This window comes from Homo sapiens, chromosome 15 (genome assembly GCF_000001405.40).
Source record: "Homo sapiens chromosome 15, GRCh38.p14 Primary Assembly".
In the NCBI taxonomy this organism is placed as follows: domain Eukaryota; kingdom Metazoa; phylum Chordata; class Mammalia; order Primates; family Hominidae; genus Homo; species Homo sapiens.
The window spans coordinates 58,431,857-58,451,437 of NC_000015.10; the positions used below are offsets into that span (position 1 = coordinate 58,431,857).

At 46.6% G+C, this 19,581-nt stretch overlaps 1 protein-coding gene and 1 long non-coding RNA gene across 2 annotated transcripts in view, besides 2 other annotated features; one reads left to right on the forward strand and one right to left on the reverse strand.

Moving 5' to 3' along the window:
• The window catches only part of LIPC (lipase C, hepatic type), a 137,854-nt gene continuing 118,407 nt past the window's right edge, over positions 135-19,581 (forward strand). Inside the window, exon 1 of the mRNA NM_000236.3 lies at positions 135-264. Coding sequence (NP_000227.2) covers positions 177-264 — 88 coding nt within the window. The 5' untranslated portion in view covers positions 135-176. The remainder of the gene's footprint in view (positions 265-19,581) is intronic.
• Positions 3,045-19,581, reverse strand: part of LIPC-AS1 (LIPC antisense RNA 1) — a 63,835-nt gene continuing 47,298 nt past the window's right edge. Inside the window, exon 3 of the long non-coding RNA NR_120338.1 lies at positions 3,045-5,056. This is a non-coding gene — a long non-coding RNA (LIPC antisense RNA 1). The remainder of the gene's footprint in view (positions 5,057-19,581) is intronic.
• Positions 7,159-7,399: a silencer, noted in NCBI's record as "fragment chr15:58731214-58731454 (GRCh37/hg19 assembly coordinates)". NCBI's record gives its function as "represses an EF-1alpha promoter that drives an FKBP-Casp9 reporter gene in an ReSE screen in phorbol 12-myristate 13-acetate-treated (for megakaryocytic differentiation) K562 erythroleukemia cells {active_cell/tissue: K562(+PMA)}" and the evidence as "EXISTENCE:reporter gene assay evidence [ECO:0000049][PMID:32094911]".
• Positions 17,220-17,720: an enhancer, noted in NCBI's record as "H3K4me1 hESC enhancer chr15:58741275-58741775 (GRCh37/hg19 assembly coordinates)". NCBI's record gives its function as "activates a minimal SCP1, AML or CMV promoter by ChIP-STARR-seq in naive H9 embryonic stem cells {active_cell/tissue: H9 hESC(naive)}" and the evidence as "EXISTENCE:reporter gene assay evidence [ECO:0000049][PMID:30033119]".

Consider the following 19,581-nt stretch of genomic DNA (forward strand, 5'->3'; position numbering starts at 1 on the left):
AGATATAATTAGATTTGCAGTTGGGGGCAGTAAAGAAAGGGTCTGAACAGTGGATAACATGTTGAGAGGTTAATTATTAATGGGCAGTCTTCCCTAACAAAGTATCTAATAGGCATTGTGGTCTCTTTGGCTTCAGAAATTACCAAGAAAGCCTGGACCCCGGGTGAAACGGAGAAATGGACACAAGTCCCCTGTGTTTCTCCATTCTGTTGGTTTTATGCATCTTTATCCAATCAAGTGCCCTTGGACAAAGCCTGAAACCAGGTAAGAGCCTGACTTTTCTCCAGAGATGGGCATGAACTTTTCTTTTTAAAACGTGTGTCACAAAGAATCCAGGGGTTTCTGACTGTATGGGACAGAGCTTGCTTCAGAGCGTGCCAGGTGGTTCTATACACGACCTCACAGGTTCACAGGGACACGTAGCCGTTTGTAAACAGAAATGAAATTTTAGAAAATCATCCTCGGATTAAAAGTCTTCTAAGAGTGCCTGCAGCTAGCAGTGAAGTCTCTTGCGTATCTGATATGGAAACAGTCATGCTAAAAGTTATTCAGCGGCAAATGATATGAAAGCGATTCAGATCTTCCTGAGAGTTAATGTGGCATCTAATTTGCAACCGGGGAGCCAGGCTTGCAATGAAATGCTCTGTCGGGTTGGGGTTGTCTAATTGCCTGCCTCTCTCAGAAGAGAGGGGAATTTATGAGAGTTCTATTTCCAGTCAGGTCTAAAGTAGAGATATCATTGCACAATTTCTAGACTTTGTTTTGCTGCCAAAATTTTAGTCTGAGGCTGAAGAATCCAACAGCCGTCCTGCCTGTTTTGTTTGTAAATTCACAAACTAGATTGATGGCGAAAGACAGATCAAATGCCTTATCAGGAAGGTAGTAGAGTGGAGCCCAGCTTCCAGGCTAAGCAGTGGACCAATAAATGACGGATCAGTTAATTGAACAATTTGGCCAGACTAGACAGGTGTTTGGGAATTTGTTTTGGTACTGGTTACTGGTCAGGAGCTAGTAACGCTAAGGTAGAGTCTGAGATTTTTCTTTTCTCTAAGACTAGCCTTGGAGAGAGCTCCGACAACTTTGAGAATTAGAAATTCCCTAACGGGATGTACCTAAAAATTTCAGAAGCTTTTTTCCCCTTTAAGAAAAAGGCTGTTCCTTTGTATTTGACTATTTTACTTCATAGGCCAGTTAATAACTGAGTAGCAGTATTAATTATTGCCATTCACTAAGTATTTTCTGTGCCAAGCACTATACTAATTATTTTTGACACATCATCTCATTTATAAAGCCACATCCAAAAATGACCCTTACATAATAATTTAGAGCCATACAGGTAAAATTGCTGGTAATCTTTATTCCCTTGGTTCATAGTGATTTTGCTAAAGGGCCTTTCCTGCCCTTTGCCCCGGAATGTTGTATTTGTTTGTTTACTTTTTAATGAAGTTTATAACACACTTCTAGAAAAGGGCCTCTATCATAAATCCTCAATGAGTTCTCACAAACTGAACCAGTACCCCAAAGCCTTCCTTGTGTGCCCCTTGAGCCTTAACATATATGATTTTTTCCTTTGGGGAGATTTTTCATTAATAGAAACACATCAGTTGCTCTTTTGCGTCTGGCTTCTTTCGTTCGACATTATGTTTGTGAAAGTCAACCATGCAGTTTCGTGGAGTTGAGGCTCATTCATTCTCACTGCTGTAGCATTCCACTGCGGGACCATGCCACACTTCCTTTATCCATTCTACTGTGGATTGGCCAGGACTGTTTTTGCAATGGAGCCATGGGAATTGGAAGCTGTCAGTGCTGAGATAGAGGTTGAAGGGAGGGATGGCCTCCCCCAGGCTTCTGGGTATTGTCCAGATTTTCCTTGAGCAATCTCATTGTCCTGATCAGCCTGCTTCTTTCCCCGGGGCCTAGTTTGTGCAAATGCTGAGAGAAGTGGCCACTATTAGCAAGAGGGTTCCTCAGAAAAGAGGATCCAAGTCAGGAGGCCTCTTGTTCTCTTGGAAGCAGAATCTCTTGGCAGAATTCTTTCTGCAATGAGTGAGCCCAATCTGTGTGCATGTGGCTGGTATGATGTCTTTCTGGGGAAACCGCAGGGAAGCCGGTGTCCTGTGGTGGAGCCCTTGTCAGGAAAGTTTCTACACCAATGGTTCTCAACAGGGGCAATTTTGCCCTCCAGGGGACACTTGGCAATGTCTGGAGACATTTTTGGTTTTTGGTTGTTAAGACCAGGGAGAGAGTGCTTCCCTTCCAGCATCTAGTGGGTAGAGGCCAGGGAAGCTGCTTCACATCCTACAATGCACAGGACAGCCCTCACAACAATGAATTGTCTGGCCCAAAACATTATTAGTGCAGAGGCTGAGAAACCATGATCTATGCCAAGCTTCAACTGTCACTCATCGAGCACCAGGAAGTACTCCCTCAAGGACCCTTCCTCTTTAGCCCCTCCTCCCAGCCTACTTCTTTTGAGTATTTATTATTAATGACATCTTACTAATGGAGTCACTAATGTGCTGCACACCCAGCATGTGCCAGGCACTCCACGGACATTTTATCTCATCCTCACCATATGGTTGAGTAAGCTGGCAGTTAAGTGCCTTGCCGGCGGTCGCATAGCTGGTCAGGGCAGAGCAGGGAGAGGTACCTGCAGCCTCAATCTGTCTACTGAGGCCGCAGTGCTCTGTGTCGAGCCCACACCCAGTGATTTGACAGCCAGAGGTTTCTAGAAAAACATTCTGCTCAGTTCCTCTCACAGAGAGGGAGATTTAGACAGTTGTTCCTGCCCTTCAGCACTAAGGGGGACTGGATAGCGTGAGCTGCTTGAAGCCCACATGGCACATCACACTTATGCCCAGCCCCAATGCCTGAGACCCAGGTTCCCCAGTCGGTGTTGCCATGAGAGCCAACGCTGCTCCTAGACCCTGGCAAGTCCCACCTTCCCGGTACTGGGCCCACTATCAACAGGCACCTTCTCCCTCCCCTCCACCCCAGCCTCAGCTTGCAAATCCTAGGAGCAGCTGAAAGCTACCTATTCAGTCAGTCCCTCATGAGTGTCACAAGCATACATGAGCACCTGCCATACGTAACGCAGTGCCTGAGTACAACTCACACACTCTGTTCACACGTTTCCTCTCTTAAAAATCACTGAGGACCCCAAACAGTGTTTATTATGTGAGATATCAATATTTCCTTCATTAGAAATTAAAACTGAGAAATCTTTAAAATCTGCTAACACTTTTTAAAATGATAATAAACCCTTGCATATTAACACATATAATGTAATTTTATGAAAAATAACTTGTATTTTCCAAATAAGTTTTAAATGGAGAAGAGTGACATTGTTTTACAAAGAAATGTTGCAAATCTCTCTAATATCTGGCTTCCCAAGACAGCTGGATTATCTTACCTGTTTCTGTACTCAGTCTGTTGTGATGTATTGCTTTGTTTGAAATGTAGGAAGAAAATCTGGCCTCCCATAGAGGAAAAGGGAGGACATCCTAAGGCGATCTCCCTGGGGCCTTGGCCTGCAAACCACTGCGCTTGTGCAGTGGGCACTGTACAACAGGGGGCTGCACAGCCGTCCCCACCTTGCAGGAATTTACAGTCAAATGGGGTGGGAGTGGGGTGGGGAGGGAATAGGGGGCCATGGGACTGGGTGGAGGGGGGATGTGCCATCAATAAAAGAGCAACCGTCTGTGGAGAATTTAAATACAAATATAACCAAAAGCTGATCTGCCTGTCATTATCACAATTATAAAGAATGTCAGCCGGGCGCCGTGGCTCACGCCTGTAATCCCAGCACTTTGGGAGGCCGAGGTGGGTGGATCACCTGAGGTTAGGAGTTCAAAACCAGCCTGGCCAACATGGTAAAATGCCATCTCTACTAAAAATACAAAACATTAGCCAGGCTTGGTCATGGGCACCTGTAATCCCAGCTACTTGGTACGCTGAGGCAGGAGAATTGCTTGAACCCGGGAGGCAGAGGTTGCAATGAGCCGAGATGGCGCCGTCGCACTCCATCCTGGGCAACAAAGTGAAACTCCATCCCAAAAGAAAGAGTATCAGCGATAAAGGCAAAGCTCTTTCCAGAAAAAAATGGTTTTATGGCCTAAGTTCTAAACAATCTCCGTGGTTACTGTTGGATTTTATGTAGTAAGTATATGTAAGCTTCAAATTCATCACATCTTTATTATTTATCCTTTCATAAATATTGTGTTCTACATTGACATTAATCTGGAGAACTCCCGGTTATGCACTTGGCCCCAACATGCACAGACTCAGGGGCGTGTTCTTGTTGCAAGAGTAAGTGTGCGATGGTTCAGATCCTTTGACGTCCTTATGTCTCCAACCTCAGTGGCACTTATTACCTGCTTCTGCATGTAAACAGTAGATTTGAAACAAAAAATGATAGCGTAGTGGTTGTACAAACAAAAAACCAGAACTTGAATTATTTCAATTCTCTCATCCTAGGTGACCCCTGTAAGCTTCTCATATGTGTTTAAAATTTAAAGCAACAAAACAGATTGTGAACAATGAGTTGTAACATCTTGTTTGATAGGTAAAAATTTGGACTCATACGAAAAATATTTTTACTGCATTTGAATATCTTAAAGTTAAAATGTATTTGTCTTTTTAAAAATTGTTCACTGCTTTATAACTAAAGAAGAAATCGAGAAAGTAGTGATGATTGCTGATTTTTACATAAATATGACTGAAAATACTTTTGTCTTATAGAGCAGAGGGTCATTAAAATGATCCGTTCTGTGTGTCAAATACATGAGGTATACCACTGAGTCACATATGTAAATGTTATCAGCTAGAACAGAACATGGCATGAGATGAGGACCATGAGAGAGGAATGAGTAGAGAAGCAGATTTTACTTCCAAGTGGAGGGAAGAAGGCTTCTTGGAGGAGGCGGCATTTGAGTAGGGTGTTGAAGGATGGTATCCGGACAGAAGAGAATGAGGCTTTCCTTGTACAATAGCAGAGGTACACAGCTGATAAAGTACATGTGCTTTTCAAGCCCAAATACCTTTCAAAAAAGACCATCTAGGAAGAAAAAGAAAAAATATCCCATAGAACGGTGTTGATAGCAACACTTGTTAAACTGCAACAAACTGGAAACAATGTGAATGCCCAAGTGCAAACCACTGAAGTTGGGGACTCCAGCTACTGCTAAGTCCAACTTCGAACAGGCATGGTTTTGAATACCTACTACTAGAAGTCACAGAAACTTTTGGGGGCAATAATGATGAAGTTCAGAAACAAAAGCCTATTGCTGGCCCCTAAGCACTCACAGTTTAACACCAGGGATCTTAGCACAGAGGATGGGTTTCCAAGAGTCGTTGAGCCTCCTGAGATGGTGCCCAAGGCTGTGTGTGTGTGCATTTTGAGTGGGGAGCAGGTGTCATAACTTTCAGCAAATTATCAAAGGGACCTGTGACCTCTGAAAAAGCTCAGTAACAACTGGTCTTGCAGCTTTGTAAAACAAGTATAAGAAAATTGTATATGCAATAATGTAGGGAAAAAAAAACAGGACTAAATAATCTACATGTTGAATCATAATTATGAAAACACTGTAGACACATGCTGTATATTGCTAGAGATTCTAAGTATATTTAAAGATATATAAAGGGTTTTAAGGTTTGGAGGATTTAAGTACTTAAATGTACAAGAAAAATAAAATAAAAAGGCCCTGATCAGCTACAGTTAGATTGGTCATCCCAAGACGACCCCCGGGAAAGGGATTTTCCACTGTCCTTCCGACCTGCCACCAGCACCCAACTTTGCAGGTTCAGCCACACTCAAAATCACTACCCCAGCAGGGTCTGTCAGATTTCTGAGAGGCCTCCACAGTTACATGGAATGTCACCCATGACTAATATTTGAGATAGAGTCCGGAGATGAAACTCATTCTTCCAAGAGTGCGTACTATTCTGGAATCAGCAGAGGGCCAGCCCCCAGCATTCCAGGGAAATTCTATCTTTCCCATGCAAGAGACCCTCCCATCCATGGCCATCCTTCCTAGCCCTACAGCTGAGCAGGTCTGTGGTCCTGCTGAAAGGTCCACCCTGGAGAGACGGGGGACAGCAGCCTGTCCTCCACTCTGCTTGCCTCTCACAGAGACCCAGGACTGGAACCCATATTCTTTCATTCTGAGCTGGAGAGAGAAACTGCAGGGCTGACGGTTGAAGGCATGGGGTCTGTAAGCTGACCCGAAAACATGAATCGCCAAATGAGTGCGCAGCCAAAAGCCAAGAGAATCTGGTACCTGGCTACCCACGATGGCCCTCTCCCTGCCCTCCTCTCCACATCAGCTGCCACAGTGCTGCGGGCATGCTGGGTCATCACAGTTGGCACAGCAGGGAGAGAGGCAGAAAGAGGCTGGGCCCCGAGACAGGGCAGAACAGTCCCCATTTCATCATGAGGGGAATGCAACCACCCAGGCCTCAGCCTGGGTGTCCCTGACAGCCACGGGCTCCACGTAGAACAGAGGTCACAGCGATTCTCACAGCCAGGAAGGTACTGTGCGCTGGCCCCCAGGACAGTGACCAGTTTCGAGTGGGGCGCTCTCAGCTGGGAAATGGGGTCCAACCCACCAGGGAAAAGGGCTGACTAGGGGCCAATAGGACCCTCCAGATCCCTGCCCAGCAGGCTGGACTTCAGTCCCAAGGTGATAACTAGAACAAGGGGGCCGAGCCTAGTCTGTCCAGCAGCGGGTGGAGGAGCCGCGGTAAGAAAGGCAGTCGGGTCTTACATTCAGGTACCTACTTGGGGCGAGAAGACCAAATCCAGTCACTCCAGCCCTGGAGGAGTCAGGGCGCCCACCCGGCTGCCCCACAGAAGGTGCAATTCCTAAACATGGTCACAAAGTAGCGCAGTGACATCTCAGCTGCTTCGGAGTTCCAGGAGAGGGTTTCTGGCTCAGGAGAATGGAGTTTCTGGGTGACTGGAAGATGAGGCTGTTGGCTAACTTCCCTTTCCTTCCCACTTAGGGGTCTATTTCCAGAAGCATTCCTCATTTCATTTTTTCCCCAGTGGGGCTTGGCTAGGGGTGGGGAGGCATGGGGAAAAAGTGAAGAGAAGAGAAGGAAATGCATGGAATGCAAGCGGAGGCCTCTTTGTCTACAGCGTTTTCACCTCCACTTGTGCAGGTTCATATTCAGGGCCTGGTGAAGTCAGTTCTGGCACGGCTCTCCAGTGGACTGGCAGTGGCCCTTAAAAATAGTTCTCAGGAAGATGTGTAGGTGGCGACGCTGAGTAGTGTTTATGTCCCAACATGAAGAGCAGGCCTCATTGTGTGTGTCCTGTGATTACAACTGTGTGAAAATACATGTGTTTGAGAAAAAATGCTGGAAGAAGATGCATGAAAATGTTTATACGTCCGTTGAGTTTGTATCTGAACTTTTGTCTCTTCCCCTCTTTATGTAATGTTATAGTATGTATATGGTATATTGACTTTCATGATTTAAATAATCAGAAAATAAATTTACTACGAAATGATAAAATAAAGGAGTTTGACTAGATCAGTGATCCTGGAACTGTAGTGGGTAATGAAGCACCTAAAAGGCTGCTTTTTTTGTTTGTTTGTTTTTCCTGAGACGGAGTCTTGCTCTGTCGCCCAGGCTGGAGTGCAGTGGCACAGTCTTGGCTCGCAGCAACCTCTGCCTCCCGGGTTCAAGCAGTTCTCCTGCCTCAGCCTCCTGAGTAGCCGCGATTACAGACACACAACACCACGCCCAGCTATTTTTTGTACTTTTAGTAGAGATGGGGTTTCACCATGTTGGCCAGGCTGGTCTCGAACTCTTGACTTCGTGATCTGCCCGCCTCAGCCTCCCAAAGTGCTGGGATTACAGGCGTGAGCCACCGCCCCCGGCCAGGGCTTATTAAAATAAGATTCTGGGGCCCTAACTACAGAGTTGCTGATTCAGTGAGCCTGGGGTAGACTTGGATATTTACGTTTCTCAGCAGTTCCCAAATGATGCTGCTGGTGTGGGGACCACAGAGAACCACTAGAGAAAAAACAAAAGAACCAAGACTTGAAACTAGGTTACTGACTTCCAGGCTAGGGTGCTTCCTACAGAAACAACACGAGGCTACAGGGCAAACCTCACTTCACTTCTAACTTTCTAGGGTTGAAGGGGTGAGAATCAACATCCACTGCTCCTGGATACTGACTTCTTCCCCAGTAGCTACAACCCCAAAAGTATTTAAAACCCCAAGATATTTGTGAAAATGTATTTGTCCAAAATAAAATATCTACATGCTAAAAAGAAAGCAGTCCTTGAAATGAACAAAAATTCCCAAGCTGAGCATTACTTGTAATTGGTAGAAAAATAATCATTGCAAAAGCTAATTAACCATCCACCCTGAGCGGCTCCTTGGCAGGCCTGAAAATATGATCAGGAAAATTCTTTTCCTATGAGTGAGGCATTATCAAAGCAGGGCAGAGCCTATGGGTTATCCGTTGACTAGGACTGACCTTTCCGTGACTGCCAAAAACTTTCCAGTGACAAATGTTCCAGCTTCCTTGTCCCAAGAGAAACTAAAGTGGTAAGAAAACAAACTGCTTTATACTGAAACATAACAAGATCAACAGCAGCTGTGACAGCATTTATTAAACTGTCCGCTGTGTACCAGGCCCCATGGTCAGTAGGAAAGTATATCCCTGAGGGTACAAAAATGAAAAAGCGTACATCCACTCACCAAGGACTTCCCACTGTGCCAGGGTCTCTAGCCCCTTATGGGGTGTGTGTGGGGGCAGGGAGGTTGGAGATTGGGAGAGGCGCATAATTTCAACACAATGCAATTAGTTTGTAAATAACACTACATGCAAAATGTTACAAGAGCCCTGAGGCAGCGCAGGTTAGCTGAGAAGCCTTTACAGAGGAGGTGATATCTGAGTTGAATCTTGAAGTTTCCTTCAAGAAGTGGAAGGACATTGTAAGCAGAGGGAAAAAAAACATGAACCAGCCTTGCTTGACTCAGAGGCTGGAAAAGGGAGAGTGAAGTTGGGAATTCTTGAGATTTTGGGGTGGCCCTGGATGGGGTACATAAAAAGAAGTGGCCAGAGGGAAGGACAGGAAGGGCCATCCTCAGAAGTTTTGTCCTCATCCTGGAGGCAGGGCAGACCACTGATGAGGGGGGTTGTTTTTAAAAGGCTGCCTTTCCCAGATGGATTGATAGACTTATCTCAGCCTGGCTAAAACCCTGGCCACTCCCTGATAGAGAACAAGGTTCCCAGCAGGCAAGGGCAGGGGTGGGGCCCAGCAGGGACCAGTTTTGCAAGCTCACCTGGCCCTACACCCGCAAACACTCAGCTTTTCCTCCAAGACAAGCCTCAAGGCTTGGAGCAAGTCTCTTTGAAGTTTTCTTATGAATTGCTATGCTTAACACTAAATCATGGGAAAGATTAACACCCATGAAACTGAAGCAGGAGCACATAACAGGAGCTTAATATGAATCTTCCATCTTAAAAATATCTTATTCTACATCTGAAAAGAGAACCATTTGGAAATTCCACGTCATACTCACTTATAGACTTAACAGCAATTTCAACTTTAAAAATTCATTCCCACCTGCATTATATGACTTGATTCTTACAGTAGCCCTGTAAAGAATATTGGGTAGGAATTCTTATTCCCATTTTAGAGACGTAAACATTCACCATCCGCGGACCATGGGGAACACAGCTGACATCAATTGCAAGTCAGTTTCTGTGGTTTACTGCAGCAAGGGAGAGCTCACTCCAGACTTGGGCTTGTGCTGGTTGAGTCTAAGGAAGGGGTGGAAAGCAAGGGGAATTCTGGATTGGATTCTGTCAAAAAGGAGTCCAATTCAATGATTCGGCATCATAATAATTTAATAGTTATCACTAATTATTATTTAATATAATCAATAAATGATCTAGCAGATGGGAAGATGAAAACAGGGCTGAGCTGGCTTTGATACAGCAACACAAGTCATTCCTGTTAGTCAGAAGAGGGAAATGTTTAGTCATGTTTTTTGATTTTGGAGTGGCCTCCTCCCTGTCTTGATGCAAACACAGATGTGGAGGGTCTGTGCTGCACATGTTTCTGTTCGGTGGGCATTGTCTCTGTTCACTTGTGAATATTATGGTCTGGCTGACGGCAGAGCTGGTTTTTGTTGCTGTGCTGTGTTTTCGTGTAGTCTCTCCCAAAGGGACTTGGGGAATGCGTTTGAGGTCTCTTAATACCTATGCCCTAGCTGCACAGCTTTGGGTGATGCCCTTTACCTCCTTACCTCTGATCTCTCAGGAGTAATAGTGTCCCTTCCACACTGACATTCTGGGTGTGAATGGGACTGATTAGAATGGTCATCGTGGTGCCAGGAGATCTGCAGTGGTGACCTTCCCTGGTATCAGCTATTTAAATATTATCAGGAAAGAGAAATGTGGAAGCAAAGTTCTATCCATTTTAAGCATGTGACCTTTTACCCTAACTGAACCTTAATTGACTCATTTGCCTCTAGCAATTCAAAGATTCCCAGACACCCGGAGGACAAAGATGGGATTCTGTAAGAACAGCCCACGCAGTCAATGACCCTTATGCCATTTCTTGCCCGGAACTGTTTTATTCAGGGCCTGACATGCAGCAGTGTTTGATTAAGTGCTGACAATGAAAATAGGTATTTGATGCTGTTTGGAAGAAAACTCTTACATTTCTTGAATTGAACTAAGATGTACAGAACAACAGAAACCATTATTTTTAAGAATATTTAAATGTGCCAAGTTCTTTGCCTATTTATGTCAATGAATCCAGAAAAACACCCTGTGAGATAGGTATTATCCCCACTTCACAGATGGGGAAATTGTGGCTCAGAGTGTTGCAAACTCTCCTTAGACCACTCAGCTAATAATTTCCTCTCTGGTATAGCTGAAACATGGGCTTGCCTGAAGGGCAGAGGCAGAAGAAGCCTCCAAACCTCCCAAGGTCCTGTGATTCTCATTGATGCCTACTTCTAGTGGTTCTGGTGTCCCTCTCAGAGCCCACATGGGTATCTGAGCCTTCAGAGATATCTCATTTGGTTTGGGGGGTTGTTTTTGGTTTTTCTGAGTCTCGCTCTGTTGCCCAGGCTGGAGTGCAGTGGCGTGATCTCAGCTCACTGCAATCCCCGCTTGCAGGGTTCAAGCGATTCTCATGCCTCAGCTTCCCAAGTAGCTGGGATTACAGGCATGCACCACCATGTCCAGCTAATTTTTCTGTTTTTAGTTTAGTCGGGGTTTCTCCATGTTGGCCAGGCTGGTCTTGAACTCCTGCCTCAAGTGATCTGCCCACCTCAGCCTCCCAAAGTGCTGGGATTACAGGCCTGAACCACTGTGCCTGGCCGAGATATCCCATTTTGGATAGGGGAGCCTGGGACATATTCTCAACTTCCGTGGGTCTGGCCACTACTTATCAGAAGTTTCTGCTCACCTTACACAACTGTGAGTGATGGCCAGGAGCAGCCTCAGTGGCCCAAGGGGAAAAACCTCTGGATGAAGCCCTGGACCCCTCACATCTCAGCCTCCATCACTGCCCCTGGCTACCCAAAGTCAAGCCCAGAAACACAGATGTGAGCACAAACCCAGGCAGCCCATAGAAGGCACAGCCCTGTGATGTCAAGCTTAAAAATTCTGGGCTACTTTTAAGGTCACCAGGGATATTTCGAAAGAGCTGAAGCTTTTTCCTCCATCCAAGAATCCTCTATCTTCCAGGTTGTTTTTATGAGCTGAAGAGGACCCTCCACGGCTCCTCGGTGACTTAGTAGTATCAAGACAACACCTGAGAAAGCTCCTTTCATGCAAATCTCTGTCTCACGCATGTGAAGAGACCACCAAGCAGGCTTTGTGTGAGCAACAAGGCTGTTTATTTCACCTGGGTGCAGGCGGGCTGAGTCTGAAAAAGGAGTCAGCAAAGGGTGGTGGATTATCGTTAGTTCTTACAGGTTTTGGGATAGGCGGTGGAGTTTGGAGCAATGTTTTGCGGGCAGGGGGTGGATCTCACAAAGTACATTCTCAAGGGTGGGGAGAGAATTGCAAAGAACCTTCTTCAGGGTGGGGGAGATTACAAAGTACATTGATCAGTTAGGGTGGGGCAGAAACAAATCACAATGGTGGAGTGTCATCAGTTAAGGCTATTTTCACTTCTTTTGTGGATCTTCAGTTGCTTCAGGCCATCTGGGTGTATACGTGCCAGTCACAGGGGCTACGATGGCTCAGCTTGGGCTCAGAGGCCTGACAGTCTCCTTCCTGCCTGCGACACAGGTCTAGGAATTATTCCACAGTTGGGCACTCTTGGTGTATTATTGTTCATGCCCTGGCCCCCACCTTTGTGCCGCATAGAGGGACTCCCCTTCCTGAGGTTAATGATTGGGAAGGTGTTAAAGCAGGAAGAACTGCAAGAAGGCACTCGTGAGTGAGCCTATCCACTCATTCCTGGAAGATAAACAAACGACCAGTGTGGCTCTCCATACTCAGAGGGTGGTTTCTGGATGTCAGAGATTTCGCCACACACCAGCTCTGTGCCAGGCCTTGTGCTAGGACCCCAACATGGTCACTCGATATTCACACAGTCTAGCAGTCTGCCAGGACTGCCAGGACAGAGGACCACAGACTGGGTGGCCTCAACAACAGAAATGTATTTTCTCACAGTTCTGGAAGTGAGAAGTCTGAGGTCAAGGGGTCAGCAGGGTGGGTTTCTTCTGAGGCCTCTCTCCTTGTCTTCTGATGGCTGCGTCTCTTCTGTCTGCACACAGTCTTCTATGTTTCTGTGTCCGATCTCCTCTTTTTATAAAGACCCCAGTCATATTGGATTAAGGCCCACCCCAGTGACCTTATTTCACCCAAATCACCTCTTTAAAGACTCTGGCTCCAAAAGCAGTCACATTCTGAGGTACTGAGGGTTAGAACTTCAATGTATGAATTTGAGGGAACACAAAGTTCAGCCCATTACACCCAGCAAACACTTTGCTAGGCCCTGCTGTGACCCGGGTCCTGGGCTTGGCACTGGGCATACAGTGGAAACTGCAAATCTCTCTTTGTTCTATTTGAGCTTCAGCAACTCTCCGGAAGGCTTCCGCGTTAGAAAAAAGGCTTACAAATACACAGGAAATTTGAAAGTGAGTAGTAAGTCCACACCAGGCCCAGACAGGGGGCCTGTGCTGAAAGGTGCAGGAAGCAGCAGCCCTGCTGAGACACACAGGAGCCGGCTGGCCGGCCGCTAGCAGGGTGGGATGGGGAGTGGGGGCTCAGGGAGCCTGGGCTGGGGAGAGGCATCCTCCCTCTTCAACAGAATGATTGGGACTTTCTGGCAGCATAAGCAATAACCGGCAGGAGACCAAGAAGGCGCCGTTTAGCTGGCTCATGTGTGAGTGAGTGATGAAACTCACCCTCTGGCTTGGCGCCTTATGGAACTATCAACTCTGCATGGGTGTGCTCAGTGTGGACCCCAAACCTGCTCCCTCTGGCTTTGAGAGGTATTTCTCCCATACAGGCTGGCTTCAGCCAGGGGGTTGCCTAGACTCGCCCAGGCCTCAGACGAGGGGAAAGGGCCAAGGCCGGCTGCCACTTTCTCATCATGTGCCTGCCTCCCTTCCCACATAGAAGGGTCAAGCCCAAATTAGAAGGGTGGGATGATGGCTGGTGCCTGAGGACAGAGCTGGGGCTAGGAGGACAAACTCCTGGGCTCCTCTTCATGTCTGGGCTACAAGATCCTGGCATAAACAGGGGCTCCTGGCACAGCGGAAATAAACCATGGGTCCCTGAGGGAGACTCTGGGTGAGAAAAGAGACCCAGATTTGGAGTTGAAAGACCTGGGCCTGAGTCCCAGCTCCATCACTTCCCAGCACGTGGCCTTGAACAAATCACTCAAGGCCTGCAGACCTCGGTCAGTCATTAGTAAAGAGAAGATTACTATTATAGAGACCCCACTGGGCTGTTTTGAGGGTGAAATGAGACCACGTAAGTGAACGCACTTTGAAACTATCCATTGCTGGTCACAAAACTAACGTGTGTACGCATCTATTTACTAAATAGTCATATAATACTCACCCGATTCATATGCTACTCCCAGTGTTTTTCTCTACTTTTTATTACAAAAGTGTTCAACTACAGAAAGAAGTTTAAAGGATACAATGAATTTCCATATTCCCTCCAGATAGACTCAATAACTGTTTGCATTTTCGTATATTTGCTGTATGTGCATATTTATATGTGTGTGACTTGTAAAACCAGTTGAGATAAGAGGGGGAAAGGAAGAGAGAAAAAGACACACACATACATATCCCATATGAAAGTTGTGGACATCATGATACTTCAATTCTAAATATTTATACGCTAGTATTTCTTTCTTTTTTTGAGACAGAGTCTCACTCTGTCACCCACGCTGGAGTGCAGTGGTATGATCTTGGCTCACTGAAACCTCCACCTCCTGGGTTCAAGCGATTCTCATGCCTCAGCCTCCTGAGTAGCTGGAATGAATGCCTCTTACTAAGGACATTCTCCTACATAGCCCCAGTACCATCACCACACCTCAGAAAATTAAAAATAATTTTATACTATCCAATATCCAGACCTTACTCCAATTTTCCCAGTTGTCCCAAGATAGTTGTTGATAGCGTTTTTCAGACTGGGATCCACTCAAGATCCTCCTGTTGCCCTGTTTGCTGAGCTTCTGCCATGTCTCCCCAGTGTCTGAGGTTGTGAGCATCTTGGTTACTTGCTGCCAATTCTCACACTCATCTGTGCTGCCCACCGTCCCATGGCCTCTTGCGGACCTCTCTCCCATGGCGCTGGCTCCTTGCACCCAGCTATCTGCTTGCACACCTCTCTCCCTGCTGGAGGATAAGCACCCCAAGGGCAGTGGCCAGTCTTAGCTACTGTTGTTTCCCCAGGACCCACACAGGCCTGGCATGGAGCAGGCACGTGGCAAATGACTGTTGCATGTTTGAATCTTCATCAGAGGGCTAAGCAACACACACCTTTAAAAAGTGAGTGAGTTTTGGCCAGGCGAGGTGGCTTATGCCTGTAACCACAGCACTTTGGGAGGCCAGAGGCAGGCAGATCACTTGAGGTTAGGAGTTGGAGACCAGCCTGGCCAATATGGTGAAACCCCTTCTCTACTAAAGATACAAAAGTTAGCCAGGTGTGGTGGTACGTGCCTGTAGTCCCAGCTACTTGGGAGGCTGAGGCAGGAGAATCACTCAAACCTAGGAGGGTGGAGGTTGCAGTGAGCCGAGATTGCGCCACTGCACCCAGCCTGGACAACAGAGCTAGACTCCATCTCAAAAAAAAAAAAAAAAAAAAAAAAGGAAATGAGTTTTAAGTAATTTCATCTGACAAATTCTGTACCCCTGCCGGAGCTCATGGAAAGCATCCCAGAGACCCAGGTGACCTAGCTCAGGCCCTGCCCTACTTCCCCATCTACAAGTGGCCACTGGGGCTCTGAAATCGCTTGGACTCTCGACTAGTCTGTGCTCGACATCTGTGACAGGACCATCGACTGAGAGGGAGAGCTGCCCTCCAGACCACAAGTCTTCTCTGGAAAACACACACGTATATGAGAAGTTGGCTGTGTTCCCATTATAGGTCTTACAGAAGTGATTCCAAGTCTTGTGAGTTTCTGTGGAACCAGAAAACCACTTCCGGACCAGCAGGAGTGAGAAGAGGCGCATGCATATCATGTTTGCATTGTTTTCTTGCATGTGTCACTTCACCACAATGCTCAGGACCTCAATGAGAGTTTTAAGTTCTCCCAGCTTCAAATTGTGCTTTCCAGGCCAGAGCTTCTCAAAATTTAATGTGCCTTTGAATCATCTGGAGAGCTTGATACAATGAATGTTTTTTTAAAAGTAGATTTGGGATGGGCTCCAGGATCCTGAATTCCTAACAGTTGGTCTGGGTGACGCCAGTGCCACTGGTCCCTGAACTACACTTTGAGAAGCGAAGTTCTAAAGGTCACAAAACAACTTCTCATTTCTTCAGTGAACTGGTAATTAGCACCTACAGCTAAATATAAGGCAGTGTTCTAGCACTGGAGGAACAAGGAAATGGGAAGAAATACAAAGAAGAATAAGACACAGGCCTTTGACTCAAATCCAACTGGATATCCCTTTATACTACGTCTAGCATTTTGCTTAAGTGGGACCTAAAAAGTTACTCCAAGCTGCCTCCCCTAGGGTCTTCTGGCTGTTTCTGGTAATGTGTATTCCTGCTGATGCTCAAGCCCTTTGCAACAAGTTCCTAACATGGTATCAAATACTGGGCACACTAGCAAACTTCAGCCATAAATTAGGGCCCAAATGTTGTCACCAAATGGCTGTGTGACTTTGGATAAATCACTCTCCTCTCACGTGGACTAGGGTTGGGAGCTCTTCAAGTCCCTTCCTGTCTGCCAAAAGGTTTCTAAGCAGTTTCCAAGCCGTTTCTTGCAGTTTTCCCATCAAGCCAGGTGAAGGCAAGTGTTATGTCCCCATCAGGGTCCCCCAGCCCCCTCTTCTTAGCTCAGGACTGGGGCTTTCTGGGGCTCACCTACAGTCTTCCTCCTTTCCTTCCTAACTTCACACGCATTTATCAAGCACATACTCTGCATCAAACCTGTGCTCAAGGACAGGGAGGCAAAGGTCAATAAGATGCACTCCCTCCCTGGGGAGGAGACCTAAAACAGACCGCAGGTGCCCTGCTGCGTGGCTGGCTCAGGCTCTCAGAGTGTGAAGGAGAGCACCTCACTCAGCACTGGCAGAGGCCGGCAGGCCTAAGTGGGCCTTCACCATATGCCAGGCCTGGCTAGGAGCTTCCCTGGAAGATTCCAGGTAACGCCCAGCAACCCTCAAAGGAAAATGCTAGTATTGTCCCCATTTTAAAAATGGGAAAACAGGCTTAAAAAGTCAGATGTCTGGCCCAACATCACACAGCTAATATGGATTCAGTGAAATATATGCAAAAATACTCAGCAGAGTGGCAAGTAGTAACTAAACGGTAACTAAAATACCTTTTTCAAATGACAGAACAGAGAGTGGGGGCCAGTAATCTGCACTCTCAGACAAAACTGACAAGTGGGAGAAAGGCTTGTCTACCCTGAAGGACAAAAACCAGGCTTGGGACTGGCCACACATGACGAGAAAACTGTGAGAAAAGAAGCAGGAGAGACTTTGGAAGAGGGCTTGGCAGGCCGGAAAGCGCTAGGTGCACACGACGGGCAGTGGGGGCTCAAACACAGGTGGGAGCCCAGGGGAGGAGGGAGCGATTAGTCATGCTGGGGAGGCTCCAAGGGCCCTTTGTCCTTCCTAGATGGCTACTCAGACGCCAGTCTGCGAGCACCCCACGCTCAGCTGCTCCATGCTTCAGCCACCATGCAACCCATCTGGATAATGGACTGTTATGAAGCATGTTGGCAGCCATCGATTAGGACTAAACTCTATGCTCATTGGGTTGTATTTGCAAGGATGCTCTGCTAAGATCCACAGCAGAGGTGCATCTCTCTCCTTCTCATTTGATGGCTTGGAATTAAAATGCCACCCAACATTCTCTGCCAAAGACATGAAGATTTATGGGTCACTGTCAATATCAACACATGCTGGCCATTATTTGAGTCTCCTTGCTGCTTGGGACTGATTGCTATTTACTTTGAAAGATAAATGTGGCTTTGTAATCCATGCAGGTTGCTGGGAGGAATGGGTTTTAAATGCATTTGTTCTTTTTTTTTTTTTTAAGACAGAGTCTCACTCTGTCAACCACGCTGTGCAGTAGCACGATCCTGGCTTACTGCAAACTCCGCCTCCAGCTTCTCCTGCCTCAGCCTCCCAAGTAGATGGGATTACAAGCTTGCGCCACCGCACCCTGCTAATTTCTATATTTTTAATAGAGACAGGGTTTCGCCATGTTGGCCAGGCTGGTCTTGAACTCCTGACTTCAAGAGATCCCCCCTCCTCGGACTCCCAAAGTGTTGGGATTACAGACAGGTGTGAGCCACCATGCCCGGCCTTGGGTTTTAAATGCATTTGTTTCTTCCCTTGGAGACCTTTCTATTCCACTCCATTCTGCTTTGTCTGGTGATGTTGGTCCCACCCTGTACCCACCATCAGATATTCTAATGTCCTCCGAGGCTCTGGAACAAAGACCAGAGGGACCAGCCTGTCCTCTGTCCAGAGTCATCAGTATGACAGTATGGAGAGACCCTTAGCACCTTAGTAGAAAAATTGCCCCTGTCTTATGGGGTGACACCACTCATATATGATCTGGGGCAAGAGTCAAGACCCCCAAGGAGCTTACTTAAGGAGCAATAGGTTGTCCCCTTTGCCTCTTCTGGTCTTTCGCGTTTCTGAGCGTGGTGTGGAAACTGAGTCAGGAGCTAAATCAGTTAGGTCACTGGTTCTCAAACTTGAGTGTGCATCACAACCCACTGAAGAGCTTTTTAAAACACAGATTGTGGCCCCCACTCTAGAGCTCCTGATTCAATAGGCCTAGGGTGCGGCCCAGGAATGTGCATTTCTAACGATGTCCCAGGTGATGCTGATTCTGTTGCTGGTCCTGCATCCCACCTGAAGAACTGCCTCAGAACAAGAGTGGGAAGCATTAGAGACCAATCATGGGAGAGATGAGGCTGCTGGCAGTGTTTGGCACTTGGGAAAAAGAACAGCACCGTCTAAAGGAGAATTTTATTAAGTTTCAGTGAACAATGTGCAATTTAAATCTTTTTGTAGGAAATCGTCAGTTAAAGGTCAATTTCCATAAGTATGTGGATCTATGTATTTTGGAAATGCATTGAAATGTTACATGGGTCTGGGACCACACAAGCTACCCACTGGTGGTCTGCTATACCTAGGTACTAGGAAGGTCAAGGTACTGAGTAGGTCACAGTCTTGCCACCGGGATGCTTTGCTAACTTTATTGAGTGAAAGTAGTAAGAAATGCCTGGTATTGATAAGAGCCCACCGTGCTAGTTTTTACCAATGGTCCCTAAGCGATTTTCCCTGCAGCAGTCAGGGTTTACAGGTAAAACTGGGCCCAGGGCAATAAAGGGGTACAGTCTAAGGACTCTGGGAGTTTCCTGATGAATACTAGAGGTCTTTGGAGGCAGACAACTTTTTCTTTGCAGCGGGACTTCACATTATAAGCCATGATGAGGCTGCAATTGCGATTTATCAGTGCTGCCTTCCTTCCCCAGGCAACGTACTAGGAAGAATCATGGTTTACTGAAGGCAGGCTACCCTCCCCATCAAAGCCTAGTGGACTGGGCAAGCAATCGGTTGGGATTCATTACTTGGAGGCATGTATCCCCAGAGCAATCAAAGGCCCTGACCGGCACAGGATTGGGAGGCTGTTGCTGAGACCCAGGCCTCGAGTGACAGGTAGAGCAGTGGGGTGGAGGAAAGTCAACATATTTGGAGATACGAAAAAGGCAGGTAAGTAATTGTATTCGTTGAGACTTTGGGTCACAAGAATAATAATCCAAACCAAATTAACTTGTGGGGAATTTATTTACTCATGTAACATAGATGTCCAAATTATAAGCTTCAGGGACAGCTGGATCTATGACCTTAATAAAGTCACCATGTTTCTTCATTCGCTCCCCACC